General features: G+C 45.5%; 3 protein-coding genes across 3 annotated transcripts, besides 11 other annotated features; 1 reads left to right on the forward strand and 2 right to left on the reverse strand.

Annotated features, from left to right (window-relative positions):
- Positions 1–22,140: 22,140 nt before the first annotated feature.
- Positions 22,141–24,364, reverse strand: H2BC21 (H2B clustered histone 21). Its single transcript, NM_003528.3, has one exon. It carries the CDS (start codon positions 24,320–24,322, stop codon positions 23,942–23,944), a length of 381 nt encoding a protein of 126 aa, NP_003519.1. The 5' UTR covers positions 24,323–24,364; the 3' UTR covers positions 22,141–23,941.
- Positions 22,908–22,957: an enhancer, noted in NCBI's record as "active region_1655". NCBI's record gives its function as "activates an Ori minimal core promoter by ATAC-STARR-seq in GM12878 lymphoblastoid cells {active_cell/tissue: GM12878}" and the evidence as "EXISTENCE:reporter gene assay evidence [ECO:0000049][PMID:35858748]".
- Positions 22,967–23,560: an enhancer, noted in NCBI's record as "H3K27ac hESC enhancer chr1:149856835-149857428 (GRCh37/hg19 assembly coordinates)". NCBI's record gives its function as "activates a minimal SCP1, AML or CMV promoter by ChIP-STARR-seq in naive H9 embryonic stem cells {active_cell/tissue: H9 hESC(naive)}" and the evidence as "EXISTENCE:reporter gene assay evidence [ECO:0000049][PMID:30033119]".
- Positions 23,338–23,417: an enhancer, noted in NCBI's record as "active region_1656". NCBI's record gives its function as "activates an Ori minimal core promoter by ATAC-STARR-seq in GM12878 lymphoblastoid cells {active_cell/tissue: GM12878}" and the evidence as "EXISTENCE:reporter gene assay evidence [ECO:0000049][PMID:35858748]".
- Positions 23,828–23,917: an enhancer, noted in NCBI's record as "active region_1657". NCBI's record gives its function as "activates an Ori minimal core promoter by ATAC-STARR-seq in GM12878 lymphoblastoid cells {active_cell/tissue: GM12878}" and the evidence as "EXISTENCE:reporter gene assay evidence [ECO:0000049][PMID:35858748]".
- Positions 23,988–24,277: an enhancer, noted in NCBI's record as "active region_1658". NCBI's record gives its function as "activates an Ori minimal core promoter by ATAC-STARR-seq in GM12878 lymphoblastoid cells {active_cell/tissue: GM12878}" and the evidence as "EXISTENCE:reporter gene assay evidence [ECO:0000049][PMID:35858748]".
- Positions 24,598–24,667: an enhancer, noted in NCBI's record as "active region_1659". NCBI's record gives its function as "activates an Ori minimal core promoter by ATAC-STARR-seq in GM12878 lymphoblastoid cells {active_cell/tissue: GM12878}" and the evidence as "EXISTENCE:reporter gene assay evidence [ECO:0000049][PMID:35858748]".
- On the forward strand, positions 24,600–25,093 carry H2AC20 (H2A clustered histone 20). The gene has a single exon (NM_003517.3). It carries the CDS (start codon positions 24,657–24,659, stop codon positions 25,044–25,046), a length of 390 nt encoding a protein of 129 aa, NP_003508.1. The 5' UTR covers positions 24,600–24,656; the 3' UTR covers positions 25,047–25,093.
- Positions 24,798–24,857: an enhancer, noted in NCBI's record as "active region_1660". NCBI's record gives its function as "activates an Ori minimal core promoter by ATAC-STARR-seq in GM12878 lymphoblastoid cells {active_cell/tissue: GM12878}" and the evidence as "EXISTENCE:reporter gene assay evidence [ECO:0000049][PMID:35858748]".
- A 57-nt stretch (positions 25,094–25,150) lies between the features above and the next one.
- On the reverse strand, positions 25,151–25,647 carry H2AC21 (H2A clustered histone 21). Its single transcript, NM_175065.3, has one exon. The coding sequence runs from the start codon at positions 25,596–25,598 to the stop codon at positions 25,206–25,208; it is 393 nt and encodes a 130-aa protein (NP_778235.1). The 5' UTR covers positions 25,599–25,647; the 3' UTR covers positions 25,151–25,205.
- Positions 25,268–25,407: an enhancer, noted in NCBI's record as "active region_1661". NCBI's record gives its function as "activates an Ori minimal core promoter by ATAC-STARR-seq in GM12878 lymphoblastoid cells {active_cell/tissue: GM12878}" and the evidence as "EXISTENCE:reporter gene assay evidence [ECO:0000049][PMID:35858748]".
- Positions 25,428–25,717: an enhancer, noted in NCBI's record as "active region_1662". NCBI's record gives its function as "activates an Ori minimal core promoter by ATAC-STARR-seq in GM12878 lymphoblastoid cells {active_cell/tissue: GM12878}" and the evidence as "EXISTENCE:reporter gene assay evidence [ECO:0000049][PMID:35858748]".
- Positions 25,941–26,535: an enhancer, noted in NCBI's record as "NANOG-H3K27ac-H3K4me1 hESC enhancer chr1:149859809-149860403 (GRCh37/hg19 assembly coordinates)". NCBI's record gives its function as "activates a minimal SCP1, AML or CMV promoter by ChIP-STARR-seq in naive H9 embryonic stem cells {active_cell/tissue: H9 hESC(naive)}" and the evidence as "EXISTENCE:reporter gene assay evidence [ECO:0000049][PMID:30033119]".
- Positions 26,338–26,457: an enhancer, noted in NCBI's record as "active region_1663". NCBI's record gives its function as "activates an Ori minimal core promoter by ATAC-STARR-seq in GM12878 lymphoblastoid cells {active_cell/tissue: GM12878}" and the evidence as "EXISTENCE:reporter gene assay evidence [ECO:0000049][PMID:35858748]".

Raw genomic sequence — 27,010 nt, forward strand, 5'->3', positions numbered from 1 at the left:
TGCTCCATACTGGGAGTAGTTACCGCAAACTGCCCTATGAAATTGGTTGGGGTTCTTACTGTTAGCATGTTTATTACTTTATCAGGGCTCTCTGTAGGAGAGTCTATGAGAAAATCTTCTGGTTTCTGCTGAAAGAATCGTGTTTTGTTGGGGTTTTTTTCCCGAAAAATATTATTTTTAAAAACTCTTCTGTGCCCTGTTTAATCTCTCCCTTGGATCCACCTTCTGTGTGCTCATAAATCGTAAATCTGTATTCAGACTTCTGGACTCGAGACACGTAGATCCACCTGGTGGTTCTTCAGTCATTTTAAGCCCAAAACTCAAAATCTCCCGAAATCAAAATGTTTAAACTTATAATCTCCAGGGTGTGACTCACGGGGGATGAGGGGAGCAATTCTCTCCCTCCCCGCATAAAGCTGGTTCTCCTGTCTGCTCATTGAACGGTTCCACTGCGCATCACAGCATCTACATGCCTAAACCAACACCCCAGCATTGGCAACAGATATCTTCCTCTCCCTTGGCTGCTTCAGGACAGGGAAGAAACATGCTTGCCCTTTTCTGACTCTTTAGTAACTCTGGCCGAATCTATCACATTATTTTACATCTCTTTACATCTTACTACTCCCCCATCTTGGCTGTGTGTTCCCTACTGGCAGTGATTTTTGTTTATTCATTTTTGTAAACTGACACTTAGTTCAGTGTCCAATATAAGCTCAACAATAGTTTATAAAAGGAAAAGTTCCTGCCTTTGATTGCTTTTAAACACTATTAGAAAAGACATAACCAAATTGCAACATGATAAAACAACCGCAAAACAAGGCTGAGAGAAGTGGTGATTTCTGGTGTCAGAGGGCACAGGACCCTGGGCAGAATCAGAGATACGGTGTCTGTGCAGTTCCCTTTTTAAGGGGATCAGGACATGCTACCTCCAAATGTGCCAGTTTCGACTTAAGAATTATTTTCAGCTGAAACAAACAGCTAAAATCCCTTACCTGTTTAATAGCAGATCCTCCTCGCAAATCTCAAATTTTTAACTCAGTTGTCATAAATCTTCTTCAGCACTAGAAGCAAATCTAACCTCGGAGATGAGAAGTGGTCACCACACCCAAATAGACATTGTCACAAGACTCGAATCTTCCATCTATTCTAAGGGCCCATTTATCTTTTCAAAAGTCATTTGGTTTTCCATATGTCCTTTACTCCTCCTCCTTTTCCCCTGCTGCTAGGTAGATCCCAAATTCTAACCACTCCTTTGAGTTACTCATCACAGAGTGCTCCCATGTATACACTTTTTTTTTTTTTGTTTGACTCAGGGTCTTACTCTGTCACCCAGGCTGGAGTGCAGTGGTGCAATCTCAGTTTAAACCCCCAAGTCTGTGGTATTTTGTTATAGTCCCCCTAGAAATTAATACAGGATTCATGGTCTGCCAAAGTCTCATTCCCTGCTCAGACCGACAATGGATAGTGGGATCCTTTGTGATATGTGCTCTGTGAGTTAGAAGTAGTAACTTAGAGCTGTTGAGGACAATACCTTTGCACCCCATCCACTGAATTTTGTTTTCAAAGATACAGTCTGAAACTCCCAGAGGGTGAGTGCCTTTCCAGTGTGTCAGAGCCATTAGTGGCTGAGCAGACCGCTGAGCATGTAGATTTCTAGGTCAGGGCCCTCTCCCCAAAGAATCATACTCCCTGGTTGAACTGAACCTAAATCAGGTTTAAAACTAGACAGATGCCAACCAACTTAAAATTCCAAAGATATCCAAGACCTGCCCATGGCCCTGGGATTTGAGGACAACGTGTGCATGTCATGGCTATGGCAGTTCAGGGGTCTCTAGCTTAGTGGGAATGTCTATGTCCTACCTTGACCCTTCTGAGTCTTCCGCCCGCATCTGCCCCTCCTATGACAATGGAGTATTCATTCCCCAGATACAGCACCGTGAAAGAGAGGCAGGAACACTGGATAGTCTAAGACCTGGTCTTTCTTGGCTGGTGTGAGACAGTGGAGGCCTCACTACTTGGTCTTTTCTGGTGTACTGTCAAAGGTTGAAGCTGGGGCCTTGTGACTGCCTCCTGTTCTCTGTTCCAGGGATGCTACACAATAGAAGCTCTGGGCCTTGACCATGGAAAGGTCCCATGAATTCTCCACTCAGCCCAACTGAGCCCCCTGCTCTCACACTGGGTGAGGAAACGATAGGCAGTGCGAACAGGTGTATGCACACTCACTGAGGAAGTGCAGCCTGTCTGACCCACTCTCTCTCACCCAGCCTAGGGTCAGGCCATGGCAGGACACTGTTTCCTTAACTATCAGCAGCCATCTTGGGGATTTCCCCACAGGGCCAGGGCAACAGAATCTGCTTCTCACTGTGACCATGGTCTGGAAGGACCATGAGGAATTCTCCAGTGCTGTCGGGGTTTCCGATACTGACACAGACAATTTAGTAACAGCTTTGACACCTTTTGGTAATAGGACAAAGTTAACACTCCTGCCACTATCCTGTGAAGGCCAACCTTCCTAGGCCCCATAGGAAACTTTTGGAATGTCTTTGTTGGGTTGAGAAACTGGGGCAAAGTAGTACCCAATTTTTTCATGTCAATATCAAAATGTAATCATTTCAGGTACACAGAGTTCCGCACTTTCAGATTAGTCTTAAAGAAAAGAAAATCGCCGGGAACGGTGGCTCGTGCCTGAAATCCCGGCACTTTGGGAGGCCGAGGCGGACGGATCACCTGAGGTCAGGAGTTCCAGACCAGCCTGACCAACATGGTGAAACCCCATCTCTACTAAAAATACAAAAAAAAAAAAAAAAAAATTAGCCGGGCTTGGTGGCGGGCGCCTGTAATCCCACCTACCCAGGAGGCTAAGCTGACAGGAGAATCGCTTGAACCCGGGAGGTGGAGGTTGCAGTGAGCTGACATCGCACCATTGCACTCCAGCCTGGGCGACAAAAGCGATACTCCATCTCAAAAAAAAAGAAAATCAAGTAAAGAGCAATTCACATTCTCTTGAAAATTCTCATTATGTCCAGCTGGTTCCGGGGAAAGCCTACCATGAAAGTGGTATTGTTACTTAGACTTAGGGTCCTTTGATCAGAATTGATGATGTCCTCAGCTAAGTCAGTGCTAGGAGTGGGCAGAGATGAAGTGATGGATGTGACAGAGTTGTAGAATATAGATTTAATAAGATTTGGTGTTTTAGGGCGGGGCGTGATGGCTCATGCCTGTAATCTCAGCACTTTGTGAGGCCAAGGTGGGCCGATCACATGAAGTCAGGAGTTCGAGACCAGCCTGGCCAACACAGTGAAACCTCCTCTCTGCTAAAAATACAAAAATTGACCGGGCGTGGTGGCTGACACCTGTAATCCCAGCACTTTGGGAAGCCAACGCGGGTAGATCACGAGGTCAGGAGATCGAGACCATCCTGGCTAACACGGTGAAACCCCGTCTCTACTACATATACAAAAAATTAGCCGGACGTGGTGGCGGGTGCCTGTAGTCCCAGCTACTCAGGAGGCTGAGGCAGGAGAATGGCGTGAACCCGGGAGGCGGTGCTTGCAGTGAGCTGAGATCGCACCACTGCACTCCAGCCTAGGCAACAGAGCAAGACTCCGTATCAAAAAAAAAAAAAAAAAAAAGAAAGAAGAAAGAAAGAAAGAAAGAAAGAAAGAAAGAAAGAAAGAAAGAAAGAAAGAAAGAAAGAAAGAAAAAATTGGTGATTTAGGCATTTGGAGAATGCATGCAATAAAGGAGCTTCTGGCCTGAGGAGCTATGGGGTTGATGTTAGGTTTCAGTAACATGGAGAATGCAGAGAGAAGAAATTGCTTTTATTTTTGTTTTTGTTTTTTTGAGAGAGTCTCTCTCGGTTGCCCAGGCTGGAGTGCAGTGGCGAGATCTCTGCTCACTGCAACCTCCGCCTCTCGGGTTCAAGCGATTCTCCTGCCTCAGCCTCCCAAGTAGCTGGGATCATAGGCGCCTGCCACCACACCCAGCTAATTTTTTGTATTTTTAGTAGAGACGGGGTTTCACCGTGTTGGCTGGGCTGGTCTCGAACTCCTGACTTCAAGTTATTCACCCACCTCGGCCTCCCAAAGTGCTGGGATTACAGGCATCAGCCACCACGCCCAGCCAGAAATTGCTTTTGAAAGCAAAAAGATGCATAAAGTCCCTCCCAACATTAAAAATTGAGATTCCTGTTCTCTACCTAGGAGAACACATCCACCAGTTGTTATTACTCTGATCAGTAAAGGGTCTCAGCTGGAGAAACTTGTGAGTAAGCCCTCAGCAAATCGATAAGGAAAACGAGAGGCAGGGAATTTGATGAGATCTTCCCAGGGGTTAGGGAGAAAAGAAGAGGACTGAGACAGGCACCCTGGGCAAGCAGGAACATTGATGGGAGTTGGTAGATTAGGAGAATACCAAGAGACAGAGGATAGCTGGAAAGGGATGAGGACCACCAGAAGAGAGTATGTCCCAAGGAGGCAAAGGAGGTGTCAACAGGGTCATATTGGGCACTGAAGTTCAGAAATAATGATTATAACTTAACATTCCTTAAGCTCAGTGACTGCTGACTATGCTTGATATTTTGTCTTACACATCACCACAACAATCCTGCAAGGAAGGCAGATGTTTTATCATTCTCACTTTACAGACTGGGAAGCTTTGAGTATTTTGCCCAAGTTCCCCAAACTATTAAGTGTCAGGGCCAGGGACTTTGTCCAAAGTGCTAGGTCTTCCAAAGTTCATGTGCTTGGGCAGAAAACAGCCACCGAGAAGCTTGTACTGGAAACTCAGAGAGGAAATGACAGGAGGCATTGTGACACACAGGGTTGAGGGCCTCACTGCTTCTCCTGACTTCTCTACCTTTTCAGACAGCATTCTTCTCAGGTTCTAACAAGCTTACCCTCTCCTACCTGTTTTAGCAGTTCCTCCCAGATTCATTTATCCTTCCAGTTCCCCGTGAAATTCTGAGTGCCGTCAGAATGGGCATTTTGCCTTGTTCATCTCTTCAAGTCAGCATCCTGGAGCATAGCAGATGATCAGGAAATGCCTGATTGCCCTAATTCCACTGGCCTCTGAATTCTCACTCAAAACGGCATAATACCCAGGCCCCTCCTAGGTTTCAAAGAATTCTCGGGAATTTGCAGGCCAGAAGCAAGTATAGCCTGGACTCTGGAAGGAACTTCCTCCAGGTTGGCCCGAGAAGAGGGAGAGGTAGCTGCCCTGAGCTGTACCCCTTGCCTACAAGTTGCTACAGTCCACCATCAGGATAGTTGTGTAGCCTTAGCTGAAGGCAGAGTTCCCCTCAGTGCTCGAAGATAAATACTTTAGAAAGGAGTGCACATTTGTGGTAGACTGAATAATAGCCCCACAGAGATATCCACATCCCAATCCTTGGAATCTGTGAATATGTTACCTTATATGGCAAAGGGACTTTGCAAATGTGAACAAATTAAGGACCTTGAGATAAAGAACTTATCCTGGATTATTGAGATGAGCCCTTAATATAATCACATGAATCCTTAGAGAGACGAGAGGGTCAATCAGGGAGAAGGGGGTGTGATGACAGAAGCAGACATTAGAGTGATCTGTCCAGGTGCTAAAAAATGCCAGTTTCTAGAAGCTGGAAGAGTCAAAAAGTGGATTATATACCTGGAGCCTCCAGAACAAACCAGTCCTTCAGACATTTGTTTTAGCCCCTTAAAACTTATGTTTGGGCTTCTGACCTCCAGAATGGTAAGAGAATAAATCTGTGTGGTTTTTTTCGTTTTGTTTGGTTTCATGTTTTTTTTTTTTTTTTTTGAGACGGAGTTTCGCTCTTGTTGCCCAGTCTGGAGTGCAATGGCGTGATGTCGGCTCACTGCATCCTCTGCCTCCCAGGTTCAAGCAATTCTCCCGCCTTAGCTTCCTGAGTAGCTGGGATTACAGGCACGCGTCACCACACCCGACTAATTTTTGTGTTTTTAGTAGAGACGGGTTTTCACCATGTTGGTCAGGCTGGTCTCGAACTCCTGACCTCAGGTGATCCACCCGCCTTGGCCTCCCAAAGTGCTGGGATTACAGGCGTGAGCCACCACACCCGGCAAATTTGTGTTGTTTTAAACCACTAAGTTTATGGTAACTTATTAATGCAACACTAGGAAATGAATACACCGTTCTTACAAAAGTCACTAGGCTCTTTATATTTGATGGGGGCGGGGGGGCGGGGGGAGATCTGAGTGTCATCAGGAGCAGAGTATAAGGTATACTTGGAGGGAAAGAGGAAAGGAAGTGGGCAGCAGAGGTAAAAAGGAGATCAGGAATGGAAAGTCGGGGGCCCCACAGTGAACCTTTCCTTACGGCTGACTAGGCTCCTTCATGGGCCTGACCAGCCTCCTTCACCTGCTCAGCCCAGAATTTGTAGAGAGATCTGTCGTCTTTGCAAGTGGACTGAGCTCTCCTAGACAATTGCTGGCCTCCCCCAGCCATGGACCTCTGTAGAGCTCCCTGGGGTCATCCAGGGCAGGAGGGTGACAGGCTGGCTTCACCGTGGTCATATAGCAGAAGTGGCAAGCTCTTCTTGCTCTTGAGGAAAGCTCACACCTAGATTGTTGCAAGGATGTTGTACAGGTTGAGCATCCCTAATCTGAAGATCCGAAACCCTAGGCTCCAAAATCTGAACAATTTTGAGCACTAATGTGGTGCCTCGGTGGAAAATTCCACACCTGACCTCACACAACGGGTCATACAATGCACAGTATTTCCCCCAAGGAAATAAAAGGCCCTCCCAGCCCCTTTCCGCTGAGATATATCTTTTCTGCACATGCCCGGTTTCCCCAACGTGCACACACCCACAAAGGGTCATAAAATGGCATGTGTGCAGGCCAGTGTCGTCAACAGCACGTTCCCCATAATGCCCCATGTAGGAGCCAAGACCTACGTGCCTTACTCACTGTGGGGTTTTTTTGCTTATTCTCTGCTCTGTGGTATAAAGATATTGTTGAAAATATCAAAAAGGCCTGCAGATACCCCATGAGTAACAGTAATTTTAAAAGAGAAAAAGCAAGGCCAGGCGCGGCGGCTCATGCCTGTAATCCCGGCAATTTGGGAGGCCGAGGCGGCTGGATCACTTGAGGTCAGGAGTTTGAGACCAGCCTAACCAACATGGTGAAACCCCGTCTCTACTAAAAATACAAAAATTAGCCGGCGTGGTGGCACATGCCTGTAGTCCCAGCTACTCGGGAGGCTGAGGCAGAAGACTCACTTGAATCCAGGAGGTTGCAGTGACCCGAGATTGTGCCATTGCACTCCAGCCTGGGCGACAGAGCAAGACTCTGTCTCAAAAAAAAAAAAAAAAAGGGAGAGAAAACATTTATGTTTATCTATAGTACAGAAAGTCAAGTTGTTGGAGAAAATGGGGCACAGTGTAAGTGTGTATAAGGTATTTATGAAACATAGATGGATTTTGTGTTTAGTCTTGGGTCCCATCCCCAATATATCTCATTATATATATGCAAATATTCCAAAATCTGAAACCCGAAACAGTCCCAGTCCCAAGCATTTCAGATAAGGGATACTCAACCTGTGTTAGTTTCCTAGGGCTGCCATAGCAAATGACCACAAACTTGGTAGCTTAAAACAACAGAACTGTATTCTTCCACAGTTCTGGAGACCAGAAGTCTGAAATAAAGTACCATGCTCCCTCTAAAGGCTCTCAGGGAGAATCCTTCCTTGCTTCTTTCAGCTTCTGGTGGCTTCTGATGTTCCTTGGCTTGTGGCAGCCTCATTCCAATCTCTCCCTCCATCTTCACATGGCTTCTTACTCATCTCTGTGTGTCCGAATTTCCCTCTCCTTTCTCTTATAAAGATACCAGTCATTGAATTTAAGGCCCATCCTATATCCAGCATGATTTCATCTCAAGATCCTTAACTACTTACGTCTTCAAAGCCCCAGTTTCCAAATGCGTTCACATTTTGAGATGCTGGATAGACACGAACTTTAGGGAACATATTCAACCCACTACAGGTCCTGAGCACTAAGCCTTGTGGGAGGACACTCTGGAAGCAGGTCCAGACTTCCCCGGTCTTGCCTCTTCAGAACCTGCGCACTCTCCACCTCCAAAAGGCCCTTCTATCAGTCACTTACACCTGAGTATAAAACTAAGCATGATAGCTGTGCAATTTTGACCAACCCTCCCATGTTCATGAGTGTAGGTGTTGGGGAACAGGCTGTGTCTCCACTTGGGGAACTCACAGCTTCAGGGGCAGGACAGGAAGATGGTGGTGGTCCTTGGCCAGATGCTTCCTATAATAATGAAAAGCCTGAATGGTTGGACAGCTGGCAGACTGTGGCCTGCATTTACTTGCCTGGAAAAGCTGGAAGGAAAGAAGACATGAGGCTAAAATAGAGGCTCAGTGTCTTAGTTTCAATATCTGTAAAACAGTAACAATAAATACACATACCTCATAGGATTCGTGCAGGGATAAATTGCTATACAGTCCATACAAAGTACTTAGAGCAGAGTCTCAACATGACAATAAATTAATAGTTATTAGCAATTTCATTATTTTTATGATAAACGTTACTTGATATATATCCTAGATCTTTCCCTTGGAAATATTACCGTCATGCTGGGAAATAAGACAAGCACATGGAAAATAATGGGTAAATTATCTAGTCTCTAGATGCTAATTATGTAGAGATTCTTCTAGACTATGTGGCCAAGGCAGCAGAAATAATTGGGTTCCTAGGAGCTTCATAACTCACAAAAACCTTTCACTAACAGCCTCTCGTTTGAGTCCACAACAACCCTGGAAAGAAGAAAAGGCTTTTTCCCTATGTTAAAGATAAGGAAGTTTCTGGTAAAGATTAGACACCGGGGAACGTGAGTTACTCGGCTAAAACATGGCCAAGGTGGAATTTGAGCCTAGGTTTTGTGTTTTGCTTTTCTTTTTTTGTATTAGATTTGATGCTTTAGGAGAAAGTGATACATGGAATAGATACAAATAATATCAATATGTGTCCAGTACAGCCCACTCTCCTGACCTCAAGTCTACAGTAAGAAATACATTTACATTGGCCGGGCGCTGGGGCTCACGCCTATAATCCCAGCATTTTGGGAGGCCGAGGCGGGCGGATCACGAGGTCAGGAGATCGAGACCATCCTGGTTAACACGGTGAAAACCCGTCTCTACTAAAAATACAAAAAAAAAAAAAAAATTAAAAAAAAGTAGCCAGGCATGGGTGGCGGGCGCCTGTAGTCCCAGCTACTCGGGAGGCTGAGGCAGGAGAATGGCGTGAACCCGGGAGGCGGAGCTTGCAGTGAGCCAAGATCTGCCACTGCACTCCAGCCTGGGCGACAGAGTGAGACTCCGTCTCAACAACAAGAAAAAAGAAATACATTTACATTGCCTCCCAGTCACATTCACAGGAAAATAAAAATTGCAACAAGTTTCACAAAATGATAATTACTATTGGTGATATTTTCCCGTTTTATGATTCTTACAAAAGGGCAAAATGAAAGGAAAAGATGATCTCTACCAAGTAAATTAATTGCACTATGGATTACAACTTATAGTTGTGGTTTTTTGGGAGGTTTTTTTGTTTTTGTTTTTCTGGATTTTTTTTTTTTTTTTTTTTTTTTTTTTGAGATGGAGTCTCGCTCTATCGCCCAGGCTGGAGTGCAGTGGCGCAATCTCAGCTCACTGCAAGCTCTGCCTTCTGGGTTCAAGGGATTCTCCTGCCTCAGCCTCCTGAGTATCTGGGACTACAGGCATGCGGCACCACCCCTGGCCAATTTTTGTATTTTTTGGTAGAGACAGGGTTTCATCATATTGGCCAAGCTGGTCTTGAACTCCTGACCTCAGGTAATCCACCCGCCTCAGCCTCCCAAAGTGCTGGGATTACAGGTGTGAGTGACCGCGCCCGGCCTACAACTTACAGTTTTTAAAACTGGCTAGAGAAAACTACAAAGAAGAAAGTTAAAATCATCTCACTGATTTAAAGAAAGTTAAAATCATCTCACTGATTTTAAAAGTCTTCATGTTTCTTCTGAATCTTTCTGTGTATGCACATACAACCTGTCTGTCTTTGTGAGGAGGTGACCCCCATATCCAGAGCCAGAGTGGAAGGTATCCTGTGACAGATGGTGACTTGAAATGTAGGTTGAGGCCTGGCGCGGTCGCTCACGCCTGTAATCCCAGCACTTCGGGAGGCCGAGGGGGGCGGATCCCCTGAGGTCAGGAGTTTGAGACCAGTCTGGCCAACATGGTGAAACCCCGTCTCTACTAAAAATACAAAAAGTAGTCGGGCATGGTGGCAGGCACCTGTAATCCCAGCTACTCAGGAGGCTGAGGCAGGAGAATCACTTGAACCCGGGAGGCGGAGTTTGCAGTGAGCCAAGATCGTGCCATTGCACTCCAGCCTCGGGGACAAGAGCAAGACTTCGTCTCAAAAAAATAATTAATTAATAAATAAATAAATAAATAAATAAATAAATAAAAATACATGCAGGTTGAGCTTTGTGGGAGCCAAGAGGGAAAGGCCAAGGCCAGCTGAGCAAATAAAGGAACCCTTCCAGGAGGAGGTGATATCTGAGCTTGGTTCTAAAGAATATTTAGGATTCGGGACATGTTTAGATTGGGGGTTTGGAGAAGATGATGTAATCCAGGCAAGAGGGGACAGCAAAAACAAAGACAGAAGAATTGTTCCTGGACCACATGCAGCATGGGCAAAGGTCAGTCATGAGAAGTAAGCTTTAGCAATGGGGGCCAGTTTAGGGGACCCCAAATGCCAAAGTAGGGAGGGAGTGCTCTATAAACAATGTTGGAGCAAAGGATATGAACAGGCAATACACAGGAGAAGAAATCCGAAAACTATCAAGCTCAGGTAGAGATGCTTGAACTCATGAATACCCAGAACAATGAAAACGAAAGCAATGCTGAGATACCACTTTACACCAGGCAGTCTGGCAAAACTTAGAAAGTTGGATGACCCGAGGACTGGGCCTGGATGTGGGCTCAGAGTCCAGCTACCTTGGTATTGGAAGTCCGGGACAAGCATTCTGGAGGGGAGCCTGACACTCCTTAGTTCAATTAGATGTAAATAAAACTCTGAACAGAACTGCTGGTTTCTGGCTTCTCAGCACTCCTGTTCCTGAGTTTTTATCCAAAAGAAATTCTTATATAGGTCCAAAAGGGAATATATACAACAATGTTCATTGCAGCATTTCTGGTGGTGATGGAGAATTGGCACAAGCCTAGTTGTCCATTGCTGGGAAAGTGGGGAGATAAAATGCGGTGTTGGAGCAACATGAAGTTTAATGCAGATTGACCTCATCTCTACAAAAAAATAAAATATTAGCCAGGCACAGTGGCATGCGCCTGTGGTCCCAATTGCTTGGGAGGCTGAAGTGGGAGGATCACTTGAGCCTGGGAGATTGAGGCTGCAGTGAGCTATGATCATGCCACTGCACTCCAGCCTAGGGGACAGAATGAGACCCAGTCTCTAAAAAAAAAGAACATGGATGGCAAAGAGATGCAGGTTGAGTTCTATAAGGGTTGAAAATAAAAGGTAATTTTTTTGGGAAATCAATATGAAGTTTATTTAGGTTTCTTGTTTTTCCTGTTTTCCCTGTGAGCCAGATGACTGCCAATTATCCCAAAATTTATATTATCAAAAATGGATACCTGCTTCCTAGCATTTGGAAAAATAAAATAATATGCCCCTGACATGAATTAATGAATTACCCCTCTAATTACAAAGTACAGAATTCTCTCTTTTTTTTTTTTTTTTTTTTTTATTTTGAGACAGAGTCTCGCTCTGTCTCCCAGGCTGGAGTGCAGTGGGATGATCTCGGCTCACTGCAACCTCCGCCTCCCTGGTTCAAGGGATTCTCCTGCCTCAGCCTCCTGGGTAGCTGGGATTACAGGCACGTGCCACCACGCCCGGCTAATTTTTGTAGTTTTAGTAGAGACGGGGTTTCACCATGTTAGTCAAGCTGGTCTCGAACTCCTGACCTCGTGATCTGCGCGCCTCGGCCTTCCAAAGTGCTGGGATTACAAGCGTGAGCCACGATGCCCGGCCTGGTTTTTTTTTTTTTTTTTTTTTTTTTGTCGTTGTTGTTGTTTTGTATGTTTGTTTGTTTTCAACTTTTATTTTAGGTTCAGGGGTACATGGAAGAGTTCAATTTTTAAAATATAGATTAGGCCAGGCGCGGTGTCTCATGCCTGTAATCCCAGCACTTGGGAAGACCGAGGCCGGCAGATTACGAGGTCAGGAGATCAAGACCAGCCTGGCCAACATGGTGAAACCTCGTCTCTACTAAAAATACAAAAATTAGCCAGGCGTAGTGGCGCGCGCCTATAGTCCCAGCTACTCAGGAGGCTGAGGCAGGAGAATGAGGCAGGAGAATCGCTTGAACCCGGGAGACAGAGGTTGCAGTGAGCTGAGATCGCACCACTGCACTCCACCCTGGGGACAGAGCGAGAGTCCGTCTCAAAAAAATAAAAAATAAATAAAATAAAATATAGATTAAGGGGGGGGAATAATAAATAAAGTAAGATATAAAACACATTACCACTAACATGCACTTCGAGAAGCAGAAATTCGCTAGGACTGAGAAAATCAAAACCTGTTCTGCCATTCATTAGGCTGCACTAACAGAGATAAAGCTAGACTAGAAATGACAGAAAACATTCTTCTCCCAAGGGCATGCTACAGCTATAAAGGCTCATAACTCCCCTCTTTGAGTGACCACTCCTTTCTTATTCACTGAGGAACTTGTACTCAAAATTACAGACTATCAGAACTTTGGCTGCTTGAAATCCTATCAATCAGTAACAATGCAGTATCCCCCTCCTGTCTGGAGGACCTAAGCCACCTTGACACAAAAAACCAGCAGTAATTTTCAACCCAGGTGCAAAAACTTCAAGTAAGGGGTTTCTGAACACAGCATTCCACCTCTATCTCAACTTTGTAGTTTCTGAGGAAACAAGACCCTGGATCCACTGCAAAGTCCCATCCTATGCCTACCCTTTCACACAGCCCTGCTTTGCTTTGAGCCTATGAAAACTACACTCCACTCGTCCCCCAAAATCATTGATAACTCTAATTTTCCTCTTGTTTGGTGAGCACCCTCCTCCCACCACCCTGCCACCAGTTTCTCTGTTGTGTGTTCTCCCTCATTGTAACAAGTCAACAGACTTGGCTTAGGTAGACTAAGTAGTGGTCTTGGGCTAATTGGGATAGGTTGAGTTTTTACTTAGAATTAACATAACTCATTTCAGCATTCCTACGTTGTCGGAGGTGGTTTTGTTTTGTTTTGTTTTTAAGACAGGGTCTCTGTTGCCCAGGCTGGAGTGCAGTGGTGTGATCATAACTCACTGCAGACTGCAGCCTCAATCTCCCAGGCTCAAGCGATCCTCCCACCTCAGCCTCCCAAGTAGCTCAGACTACAGGCGCACACCACCACGCCCAGGCTAGTTTTTATATTTTTTGTAGAGACAGGGTTTTGCCATGTTGTCAGGCTGGTCTCCAACTCCCAACAAACTTGCCCGCCTCGGGCTCCCAGATGCTGGAATTACAAGCATGGGCCACTACACCCCGGCTCTTGGTTGTTTCTAATCTTTTAAATTACTATCAATGTTGCATCAACATCTTACTTATTTGATATTAGTAGTGTAGTATAGTGACTAAAGGAAGACTCTGGAGTTGAAATCTGGTTTGGCACCGACTGTGTGACTATGAGAAAGTTTCTTAACCGCTCTGTGATTCCTCCATCTCCCAATCTGTAAATGGACATACTTACACTACCTACTTGACAGGGTTTTGTGAGGATAAAATGAGTTAATACATGTAAAGTGTTTAAAACATTCTTGGCACCAAGAAAAAGTATGTAAGTGTTAGAAAAAAATATGCATATATAGGCGGGGCGTGGTGGCTCACGCCTGTAATCCTAGCACTTTGTGAGGCCTAGGCGGGTGGATTGCCTGAGCTCAGGAGTTCGAGACCAGCCTGGGCAACACAGTGAAACCTTGTCTCTACTAAAATCCAAAAAATTAGCCGGGCATGGCAGTGTGCACCTGTAATCCCAGATATTCAGGAGGCTGAGACAGGAGAATCGCTTGAGCCCCGGAGGCTTCGGTTGCAGTGAGCCAAGGTAGCGCCATTGCACTGCAGCCTAGGCGACAGAGCAAGGTTCAAAAAAAAAAAAAAAGAAAAGAAAGAAAAAATATACATATATGTGGTGTTATAATGTATATTGGTTTCTGTCCACAGTTCCTGGCTCATAACTTCCATAGCCCTTGTATGGTCTTTTTACAGAGTACAGTACACTCCAATGTTGGGTATGTTAGGCCCCAGAGGCAGGTCTCAGGAAACAGAATCTCTCTTTCTCCTGCCCTCCTTTCACCTGCCCCAAGGCAGAACTCTAATATTTGCCCACTTTTTTAATTGAGGGTCTTAAGACCCTCCCCGGAGAGGTTCCCGCCCTATACCCTGGGGGAAGGAATGCTGACATCATGAAGCTTCCATAAAAACCCAAGAGGAGGCCAGGCGCGGTGGCTCATGCCTGTAATCCCAGCACTTTGGGAGGTGGGCGGATCACGAGATCAGGATTTCGAGACCAGCCTGGCCAACATGGTGAAATCCCACCTCAACTAAAAATACAAAAATTAGCTGGCCATTGTGACTGGTGCCTGTAATCCCAACTACTCAGGAGGCTGAGGCAGGAGAATTGTTTGAACCCGGGAGGTGGAGGTTGCAGTGAGCCGAGATCATACCATTTCACTCCAGCCTGGGCAACAAGAGCAAAACTCCGTCTCAAAAAAAAATTAATAAATAAATAAAAATAAAAAATACTAAAGAATAATTTTTAAATGCATAGAAATATACTTTTTCACAATAACACATAAAAGCAAAAAGAGTAATTGTCTCAGACTAAGGAATGCACATAAAATGGGATAATACTAAATAAGGAAAAGGGAGATATCTCCAAATAAGTTTGCATTAAAAACAAAATTTTAAGGAGGAAATGTCAGGGGACACAGTGCAGCCATGGTTCTAAGTAACGTGATATGAGCTGTGTATACAGTCGGTTAATTTGGGATGGAGGGTGCAAAACCAATCAGAAGGGAGCCATACCCAAAGCAGGAGGCCAAGTCTTGGGGACAAAGATGAGAGGACCAAGGATGAGAACAAGGGAACCAGACACAGGAATGGACAGGAGGGGAACTGTTGACTTTATTGCACATAGAAGATTGCCTGAACCTGGATAGGGGAAAGAGCAGAAAGGGAGTTGTTGGGGCAAAATGTAATCCAAGATGACTCTGCACCTTCCTGCCTGAATGACTAGGAGAATGATGCCACCTTCACAGGAATAGACAGCCTGCAAGGAGGAGCTGCTGAACAGAGTTCACTTCAGGCCACACTGGATCATAACGGTCAACTGGCAATGGCAAGTGGCCACGTACTTCAGACAACTGGGAGTGTGTATCTGGAGGCACATCTAGAGACCCAGTTGGCTTCTCTCATCTGCCCAGAGGAGCTGGAGAAAGCCCTGGGAGTCCCTGGGAAGAGCTTATGAAGAGGTGGCCCCGGCCGGACACAGTGGCTCACTCCTGTAATCCCAGCACATTGGGAGGGCCAAGCGGGCAGGTCACTTAAGCCCAGGAGTTTGAGACCATGGAGAAACCCCATCTCTACCAAAAATACAAAAATTAGCTGGGCATGGTGGTGCACACCTGTAGCCCCAGATACTTGGGAAGCTATGGCACAAGGATCGCTTGAACCCGGGAGGCAGAGGTTGCCATGAGCCAAGATCACGCCACTGCACTCCAGCCTGGGTGACAGAGTGAGACCCTGTCTCCAAAAAAAAAGAGAGATGATCCCAAAGATGGGCCTCTAAAGAACATCTACTCCACTTAGGGATCTGATGGGGACAGGAGGTGAGAGAATAATTTTATACTAAAATCAGGGAAAACATAATATGGGGAAATTGGACCAGATGATTTCTGGGTTCCTTCCAGCACTAATATTCTATGGTTCTATTAAACAGACATGGAAAATATGTTGCTAGATCCTCAGATTATTTGCTATTTGCAAATTTTAGACAAATGTTTTAGTAAAATTCAGGAGCACCATGGTGTATCAGGGAATGCCAAGTTATTTAAACTGCATAAATATCCATTTCTTTCTTTGTAAAATGGGGGTAATATTTACTTTTTTGGGGTTGTTTTGATACAACATGATGTACTAGAAGGAAAATTCCAAGTTCTTTGACATGTCTGAACCTCAGTATCCTCCACGATAAAAACCATAACATTTACCTTTCAGGATTTGTTCTGAGGATTTGAAATGGTATGTCTATAGTATTTTGCACACTGTGGGCTTTCAGTAACTGGGAATTTTTACTTTTTACTCTTTTATTTTAAAATTAATTTAAGTCACAGAAAAGTATCTGACTTCAGACACACAGTTCCTCTATATTCCTGTAGTAGGCAAAATTCTGCGATGGCTCCCGTGAGTCCTGGCCCCTGGTACCCGTTGTTTAAATCCCCTCCCTTTGAGTATGGGCAGAACCTGTACTTGCTGTTAATCAAGAAAACTTTGCAGATGTAGTTAAGATCCTTCATCAGTTGACTTTGAGTTAATAAAAAGGGAATCCCTGACTTAGGTAAGCCTTTTTTTTTTTTTTTTTTTTTGAGACAGAGTCTTACTCTGTTGCCCAGGCTGGAGTACAGTGGTGCAATCCAGGGTCACTGCAACCTATACCTCCTGGGTTCAAGTGATTCTCCTGCCTCAACCTCCTGAGTAGCTAGGATTACAGGCACCTGCCACCATGCCCGGGTAATTTTTATATTTTTAGTAGAGCTGGGGTTTCACCATGTTGGCCAGGCTGGTCTCGAACCTCAGGTGATCTGCCTGCCACGATCTCCCAAAGTGCTGGGATTACAGGCATGAGCCACTGCACTCGGCCTAGTGAGCTTTTTAAAAGAGGGTCAATGCCTTCCCTGAATTAGATAAAGTGGAAGCAACAGAGATGCTCTTCTGCTGGCCATTAGAAGCAAATATCCATGCTGTGACATGCCTGTGGAGAAGGGCAGCCTCTGAGGGCCTCAATTCTACACCTGCAAGAAACTGAATTCTGCCAACAACGTGGATGAGTTTGGAAGACCCCAGGCTTCATATGAAAATGCAGCCCAGTTGACACTTTGATTTTACCCTTGTGAGATTCTAATCAAATACTCCCACTATGCCATGCCCAGACCTACAGAAACTATGAGAGGCTAAAGGAGTATTGTCCTAAGCCACTTAATTTGGGGTAATTTTTTACACATAAATAGAAAACTAAAACAGTTTTTTGCCTCCTTCATTCAGAACATGGTTTTTGTTTATCTTCTCTCTCCCTGCTGTCTCTATACTTGTCTAAGACCTCATTACTGGTTGCAGCAGCCTCCCCACTGGTTTCTGGTTTCCTGTATTCTCTTTCTTCTATGCATCCTGCACATTTCTTCAGAATAAAGATACAAAGGTCATAATAACCTGCCCAAAATATTGCTCTTGACTTGCTCAAGAACCTATACCAACTCTCCCAGGCCAGTTCCATCAACTCTGATTTTTAGCTAGTTTCACAGTTCTCGATGACCCAGGCCTCCTTAAAGAGCCTGACTGGCTCTCTTAGTCCGTCTGATGACCAAACCTGTGACCGAGGACACATTAGTGAAGTTAACTAGTCAGGAAAATCACTCCAGAGACTGCCTCCTGCAAAGCAAGTGTTCATAATCTTGAGGGATTTTTAAAAAATAGGTTAGGAATAGTGGAGACTCAATCCCAAACCTATATGTTACCTCATCCACCCTAGGGACTTCTGGAGTTTTTGTTGTTGCTGTTGCTGCTACTGTTATTAAGTTGATTGCTATTTGCATTGATGAAGTTTTTTTAACCATTTTTTAGAATTAACTACAATGTATTGAGAGCCTACTCAGTGCCAGGCAGTAGAACAGGTATTTTTAAATACATTATTTTCAACAAAAAAAAATCTTATAGGCTTTTTTTTAATGGCCAATAATCCCACTGTTCACATAACCTCTGCTGACATTGTTTTTAAGTGAACATTGATCATAAATTTAAACAGTACTGAAAGATATAAAGGAAAAAGCAAAATCTTTTGGCCCAAGGAAATTCTTCTCCTTAAGAGTAGCCACTATTGGCCGGGTGCGTTGGCTCACGCCTGTAATCCCAGCACTTTGGGAGGCCAAGGCAGGTGGATCACGAGGTCAGGAGTTCAAGATCAGCCTGGCCAACATGGTGAAACCCCGTCTCTGCTAAAAACTACAAAAATTAGCGGGGCATGGTGGCACGAGCCTATGGTTCCGGTTACTTGGGAGGCTGAGGCAGAAGAATCACTTGAACCCGGGAGGTGGAGGTTGCAGTGAGCCACGATCGTGTCACTGCACTCCAGCCTGGGCAACAGGGCAAGACTCCATCTCAAAAAAAAAAAAAAAAAGAGTAGCCACTATTGGTCAGGCACAGTGGCTCATGCCTGTAATCCCAGCACTTTGGGAGGCCGAGACAGGTGGATTACCTGAGGTCAGGAGTTTGAGACCAGCCTAGCCAACATGGTGAAACCCTGTCTCTACTAAAAATACAAAAAATTGGCCAGGCGTGGAGGCACGCACCAGTAATCCCAGTTACACGGGAAGCTGAGGCAGGAGAATCACTTGAACCTGGGAGGTGGAGGTTGCAGTGAGCCAAGATCGTGCCATGGCACTCCAGCCTGGGCAACAAGAATGAGACTCCATCTCAAAAAAAAAAAAAAAAAAAAAAGGGTAGCCACTATTATTAGTTTTGTTATGTGAAATCCCCGGAAAGTGTTTTATTTCATATCGGTGCATACATATCAATACACACATATCCTTTTTTATTTCCACCAAAAGGGACCCTAACATTTTATTGCCACATACTAGTAGATATACAAGTAGTTTCCAGATATTTACTATTAAAAATAATAATTTTTCCCAGCGATTTGAAAAGAAGTGAGAGGATCACTTGAGGCCAGGAGTTCAAGACCAGCCTTGGTACCATACCATCTCTACAAAAAACTTAAAAATTAACTCAACGTGGTGATGCCTACCTGTAGTTCTAGCTACTGGGAAGGCTCAGGTGGGAGGATCAGTTGAGCCTAGGAGTTTGAGGTTCCAGTGAGCTATGATCTGGCCACTGTACTCCAGCCTAGGTGACAGAACAAGACCCTATCTCTAAAAAAAATAATAATATTCCTCTTTACTGAAGTATTCCAGCTAATATATGAAAGAAGAGTGACAGAATATCATTATTTTGCAATTGATAATGAATTAATTGATCTAAGCATTGAGAATCAATCACTGCTGTTACCACAAAAAAAGAAGCAGCTAGACATTACATGTCTCCTGATAGAAAAGAAATAGTACCACCTATGAAGTAGTCATGTCATGGGGTGAAAAACTAAACCTAAATCTAATCAAGCCTCTAAGTACCAATTTACAGAAAATAGAGCACAGAGGCTCATGATAAACTACATCCTGAAGACAACTCTCTAAAGAGCACATATTCGGTTCCCCTGATCCACCCATCATTCTACTGGAAGCAGAGTTGTAAAGAAAGGCAAACTATAATGAGAAGGCCACCTGCAGCACACAGAGGCAGGTGACCATGGTAGTTGGTGTCAATCTGGTTGGCCTGACAAAGCCATTTCCACTTTAAGGGAAGCCCTGTTGCAGGGAACAAACACACACTTTTGAGGGTCAGGGTCCATCTGCTCCAGAAAGTGCTTGATGGGCATAAACCATGTGGTCTCTGAGACTTTAACTCTTCTGTTTTTAGTGCCACACAGCTCCTTTCTGTTCCCATAGTCAGGTCAGCCTAGGAGCTCATTGGTTTCTTTAAAGGCAGTTTATACATTCTGGCCTAATCCTGCAAGATCTGGCTCTGTCTACCTGTGTAACCTCTTGATGCTGCACTGTCCTCCTTGCCCTCTAACCACCACCTGTACTAGACTTCCTGCAGTTCTTCCTATCTACCTGACCATGATCTTTTCCACTCTTTCCAGGCCTTTGCCCATGCCATCCACTGCCTGGTACACCCTTCCTATCCTTGTCAAGTGTCATCCTAAAGGTTCTTTCCTCAGGGAGGCCTTCCCTACACCCACCAATGTGAAGTTACGACTCCCTCCATTATACTCTCTATATCTATACTTCTACAGTCGTAATACTTGTCACACTTTCTCATAGTCACTGGATTAATATGTCTTCTCTTCTAGTCACTAGAGGTCCAGGAAGGCAGAAGCCACGCCTGTTCAATTTTCTGTCCTCACTACCTAGCAGATTGCCTGCCATCTTCACAGATAATAAACTCTTGAATGAAAGAACAAATGATATCACACCTAACAATGCTTAGGAGTCAGAGAGAAGAAAATTGGTCCCAGAATGCCGTTCTTATAGAATTTAATAATGTGCATAGATACTTAATATTTATAAAATTAGTAGATACAGATTTTCAATCACACATATTAAATGAATTATTAAACCTAGTCCCCTCGGTTACAGGGACAGTCTCTCACTTAAGGGTCAATTTCTGAAACCCAAACAGAGCTGCCCTTTAGGCCTACTCCAGAATTATTGATAAGCCATATTACAGAGCTATGACAGTGTCCTTTTGGTCCTTCATTTTTTTTTCCTTTTTTTTTTTTTTTTTTTGAGATAGAGTCTTCCTCTGTTGCCCAGGCTGGAGTGCAGTGGCGGCAGCCTCCACCTCCCGGGTTCTAGGGATTCTCCTGCCTCAGCCTCCCGAGTAGCTGGGACTACAAGTGCCCACCACCATGCCAAGCTAATTTTTGTAGTTTTAGTAGAGGTGGGGTTTCACCATGTTGGGCAGACTGGTCTCGAACTCCTGACTTCAAATGATCCACCCACCTTGGCCTCTCAAAGTGCTGGGATTACAGGTGTGAGCCACTGCGTGTGGCCAACAGAACCTATCTTAAAAAGTGGCTGTAGGCTGGGCGCAGTGGCTCACGCCTGTAATCCCAGCACTTTAGGAGGCGGGTGGATCACGAGGTCAGGAGATCAAGACCATCCTGCTAAGTAAGTGTAAGGTAAACTCTTAGCTTACTGCTAAGTAAGTTTAAGGTAAACAGTTAAGTGCTTAGTAAGGGGAAGCAATCATTATTTTAACAATTATTGTTATTAACCCCAACATAAGCAAATGTTTAAAGATGTCTGAGCAGGAGAAACGATCAAAGAGGTTCTTGAGGATTAATCTCACCAATTACTTCCCCTCCAGAGTTAAAATATCAAAATCTATCACCTCTTCCCCCCCTTCCTCACTCTATAACATCCTTCCCAGTGAACATCATCCCCAGGTGGAGCCCAAAACCAGCAACTAAGGCTCTCTCATGTTAGTGAAAGGATTCCAGCTGGTGAGCCCCACCACTGTGGGGACAAACTCAATTGAGTTGAGCTATGGCCTCTGGGATGAAGGATCACAGCCACCTAATCCCACCCTCAATGTACTCAGCCACCACCACCCAGGATTTATATCCAGGGTGCACTCTGAAGAGAATAAAGCCAGTGGTATTTCTTTTCAATTCTAAAGCATAGATATTTCCCCCTAAAACACAGGAAGGGTCCAGGTTTTCAGAATGACCCTGTTTCTCAAGTCCCTTAACTGCTAACCTAGGAGCTTATTCTCTGGAGAGTTTCTGAAGAAAGGCTTCTCTTTGCCTCAGTTTCCTTATCTGTAAAATGGGTGATAATAACGGTACTACTTCCTGAGGTCCCAGTGAGAATTAGATGAGTCAATACATATAAAGGGCCTAGGACACTACCTGGCACGTAGTAAGTGCTCCGTAGGTGTTAGCTTAACTTTATTATGAACTTTATTTCTTCCATCTTATTTGTACTGCTGTCTATTTGTGATCATATATTTTTCAATTACTAAGCATTAACAGTGGCCTTGTAACAGACTATTTCAGCCCCAGTGCACCTTTGGGGCAGCAGTTTGGCTGGTGGCTTATAAATAGTCATCCCCCAGATCAGAGGCACCCACGCTTTTCTACAGACACAGTGGAAGTTGTATCTGTTAATTTCATTCATTGAGAAAATACACTGTAGATAAAAGAATCCAGCAAAGCCTTTAAATTAATTGGTAACTTTATTAATAACAATAGCATCTATACACATTTGAAAACACACATGTAGGAGACAGTTAAGATCTATTCAGTCTGTGATAATGTCTAGAGCTCATTTGGATTCATCAAACCCCTGCCATCAGCTCCAAAAGCCCTTAGCCAAAAACAGCTGAATCACTCATCAAACCATCAGTGTCTTCCTCGGCAGAATCAAGGGTTGGACAGAAAGAGTAAATATTCTGCACCTCCACAAAATAAAACTAAAATGCAATTGTCCTGCATCTGAGAATACAAGGGTGGACAGTATGAGCTGCATGACTGTGAACCAATGAGGCTTCTCTTGGCCTCATTTGTAAAAAGGAGATTAACTCTGTAGTCCCGCCTATATTGCATGGCCTCCAGAAAAGCAAATGAGGTGGTAAGTGTAAATTAAAAGCTCCTCTCCTTTAAGAGGGGAACACCATGAGGGGAGAGTAAGAAAAGGAGAAGGAAAAGGCTCTTTCCAGTGACCAACACGCTGAATTTGATGAAAATCCATAAGAGGTTATGCTAAACTGAGAAGCATAAGGGTGGATCTACCATTGCCACCTCCTCTTTGTAGCAAAAAAAATCTTAACACGGCCCCCTCCCAGCTGTTGCACTGAGGTGACTAAGGATACATTTTGAGGAAGTAGCTCCAAGAACATTTCCATTTTCACTGTGCCTTCACATACATCTAATGGAAATGAACAGCACCCTTCATCCATCCACGGAAGCGATTAAGAAAAGGGTGGGATGGAAAAATTAACCCAACAATATTAGATCAATACGTAGTATTTAAGTGTCCATAATGTGCCAGGCTGAAGATGCACGGGAAAACCACACTAGCCGGTCTGTCAAGGGCTTGAGAATACCATAAACAAGAAAACAGACGAACCAATTTCAGACAGCTGCTAGAAGGAAGATAAAATGAGACAGGCAAGTATGAGAGGCGCGAATTCCTGAGTGGATGACGTAGGTCTCTGAGAGGTGACTTTTGAGCCCGTATCTACATGGTAAGTGCCTCGCAGTGACCTGGGGCCGTAGCGTTACCATTTAAAGCACAGACCATTAAATGCAGAAATTATCAACAAAATGAGAAATAGGAATTTCAAAGTCTCAAAGTGAACGACGGAAACTGAAATCTACAAATTAGAAAAAGGCGCAGAATTTTGAATATTCTTGTCGCCCAATCAGGACAAGGCTGGGACCCGGCTGCGCGGCCTTCGTCCAAAATACACAGAACGGCTGGTATCCACAGGAGGCCCCATCGCACGGCAGAACTGGTGACCGGACACAAAAGCTGCTGCCAAGCGTCAGTCATACAGAGCTGTCACGCAGTGTTTGCGGAACCCGGGCTGAATTGTGTCCTGGAGTTCTCTTAAATGACAGCCGAACTCAGCCACTTCGTTTTAGAATGAAACAGACCCAAGGAGCCACCAGGGCGCGTGTGGGGCGGGAGTGGGGGCGGGTAAAGAGGCGGATTCCCAACAGCCTAATTGAGAACCGACTCCTGGGAAGGCTAAGCAGCACAATGAGTAAAGACACGCTCTAGATTCAAAAGCAAATCCAATGACGCACTGGGGACCTCGAGTTCCAAATAGTTAAAAAGCTACGTATGCCATTTCCCATGACCTTCACACTAAAATAACTTACTTTATGAAAAGAAACTAAGGGAATAAGTGAACAAGCTCTTTTCTAGTGATTAGGTGGGTGGCTCTGAAAAGAGCCTTTGGAGTCAAGCAGCCGGCGACTCGAGCGAGCGAGCGCCAGGTCCCGGCAGGGACTCACTTGGAGCTGGTGTACTTGGTGACCGCCTTGGTGCCCTCGGACACGGCGTGCTTGGCCAGCTCGCCGGGCAGCAGCAGGCGCACGGCCGTCTGGATCTCGCGGGATGTGATGGTGGAGCGCTTGTTGTAGTGCGCCAGGCGGGAAGCCTCTCCCGCGATGCGCTCGAAGATGTCGTTGACGAAGGAGTTCATGATGCCCATGGCCTTGGACGAGATGCCGGTGTCGGGGTGGACCTGCTTCAGCACCTTGTACACGTAGATGGAGTAGCTCTCTTTGCGGCTGCGCTTGCGCTTCTTGCCGTCTTTCTTCTGGGCTTTGGTGACGGCTTTCTTGGAGCCCTTTTTAGGGGCCGGAGCGGATTTTGCCGGTTCAGGCATGGTAAGACACAGTACAAACGCGGCTTAGCCAAGAAAAGAAGTAAGAGAATGGGCGGGCCTGATTCTTTTATAACCACCTTATGCAAATTAGGGCTCCGAAAGTCGTTCATTTCCATTGGTCCGTGTGCGGACCTTGCGTTTTCAGCAATGCGTACGTAACAACACCGACTCTTGACTTGATTGGCCGGTTCTGAAGCCATATTAGGACCAATGAAAAACTCGTTCTTGACCCCACCCCTAGGAAAGCTTATAAAGGCTTTCCTCTTGGTTCTCTTTCAATCTTATTTTGTTGCGAGGTTCTGAGCGTTGTCTGTGTTTAACCTTGATTTCAGTCATGTCTGGTCGTGGCAAACAAGGAGGCAAGGCCCGCGCCAAGGCCAAGTCGCGCTCGTCCCGCGCTGGCCTCCAGTTCCCGGTAGGGCGAGTGCACCGCTTGCTGCGCAAAGGCAACTACGCGGAGCGGGTGGGGGCCGGCGCGCCCGTCTACATGGCGGCGGTCCTCGAGTACCTGACCGCCGAGATCCTGGAGCTGGCGGGCAACGCGGCTCGGGACAACAAGAAGACGCGCATCATCCCTCGTCACCTCCAGCTGGCCATCCGCAACGACGAGGAACTGAACAAGCTGCTGGGCAAAGTCACCATCGCCCAGGGCGGCGTTTTGCCTAACATCCAGGCCGTTCTGTTACCAAAGAAAACCGAAAGCCACAAAGCCAAAAGCAAATAAATGCAGACAAACAAACCAAGACCAAAGGCTCTTTTTAGAGCCACCCAAGTTTTCAAAAAAAGAGCTAATGCGCTATTTCGTGATCAGCCCTTCATTTGACACTTTGGTGGCTCTTAAAAGAGCCTTTGGGGTGAATGAGTATGGTGTCAAGCCTCTTAATTACTTGTTCTTGCCAGGCTTGTGACTCTCCGTTTTCTTGGGCAACAGGACAGCCTGGATATTGGGCAAGACGCCGCCCTGGGCAATGGTGACACCCCCGAGTAACTTGTTGAGCTCTTCGTCATTCCTCACGGCTAGTTGCAGATGGCGAGGGATGATGCGCGTCTTCTTGTTGTCCCGAGCCGCGTTGCCCGCCAGCTCCAGAATTTCCGCGGTCAGGTACTCGAGGACCGCCGCCAGGTACACCGGGGCGCCTGCCCCGACCCGCTCCGCGTAGTTGCCTTTGCGCAGCAAGCGGTGCACTCGCCCCACCGGGAACTGGAGACCAGCGCGGGACGAGCGCGACTTGGCCTTAGCGCGGGCCTTGCCTCCCTGCTTTCCGCGTCCTGACATTACGGCTAAAATTGCAGTTACAGCTTCTTTTACAAGGAGAAGAATGTGGAAAGAATAACCAATTTGATGTAATTTATAAGAGCTACCGGGAGGGGTGAAGGGAAGTCGTTTGATTGGCTAAAAGCGGAGCCGTATCTAACAGCCAATAGAAAAGCAGAAAGCCGCCTCTTGGTTTGCGTCCTGCACTGAAAGGAAATGACGGATTTTGTAAGTATCTACCAATCGCTGAGAGCCACATTAAAGCCCCTTATTTGCATGCCAGGATCTTTAAAGAGAGCAGGCTTTCAAACAAAATACTGGTTTTGTTTTACTGAGAGGCACTGTGGGTTTTTGTTTTGTTTTGCTTTGCTTTGTTTAGTTTACAGCCGGGAAATCCCAATATGGACCCTAAGGAACTGCAGAAGACATCCTTAGACGGAGAGTTACTCTCACGAAAGAGTAGGGGATTCTGAAGCCGATGATCCCCTTGAGCTCTAAACTGCCAAGTCCCGCCCTTTCTGTCTCGTCACAGCCAAATTCCCTTTAAAAATACATGTACTACTAAGGCTGCCTCCTTTCTCGCCCCTAAACTTAAGTCGCCCGCAGCGGCGTGTCTCCGCCCCACCCCCACCCGCCTGCACTCCTCGGAATCCGGTTTGACCGAGGCTAGAATAGATTTGTCATCCTCCTCTTGACCTCCAGGAGGCGGCCTTCAAACTTGCTCCCTTGGCTTTCAAAATGTCGCCCTGTTTTTCTTCTTACCTCGCCGACTTTTCTTATCCTGCTCCCCCATGCCACTGCCCATCTCTAAATCTGCGAGTCCAGCTGGACTGTTTCCCTGTCTCCAATTCTTCACTTATCCCGAAGAGTCTTACCCATTTATATGCTTTCAACTAACGTCCAAATTTGTTTCAGAAGCTCAGACCCTTATGCCTAACTGCTTACAGAATACTTCAACCTACTTATCCCAACGAGCACCTCAAACTCAAACTCTACCTCAGCCTATCCGAACGCGAACTCATACAAACAACCTCCCCTCTTTGCCCTCTTTTCCTGAAATGCACCAGCATACTTACAGATACCTAAGCCGAAATCTACTCTACTCTTCCCTTCGTCTTAGCATATCCAGTCAGTTGCTTCCTTAACATCCCTTCAGACTTTTTCTCCATGCTCCCTTGTCCACCTCATCATCATCCCTTAGATTTCAGCAACAGCCGGGAAAGGGTAATTTTGCCGTCAGGCACTAATCGCTGGCATGACTCCAGCGGTCTTAGAAATCTTTCCTGAAAGCTCTCCTTTTTTTCTTTTATCCCATATAACAGATGAACCTGAAAGCTCTTGTGTTTCTTCCTCCTCAACGTCCCATCTCTGGGAGTTCTACATCTCCTACACCATTCTCACCCTTTCCTTAGTATCCCTTAAGGTCAGGTAGA

Source organism: Homo sapiens, chromosome 1 (assembly GCF_000001405.40).
Source record: "Homo sapiens chromosome 1, GRCh38.p14 Primary Assembly".
Lineage (NCBI taxonomy): Eukaryota > Metazoa > Chordata > Mammalia > Primates > Hominidae > Homo > Homo sapiens.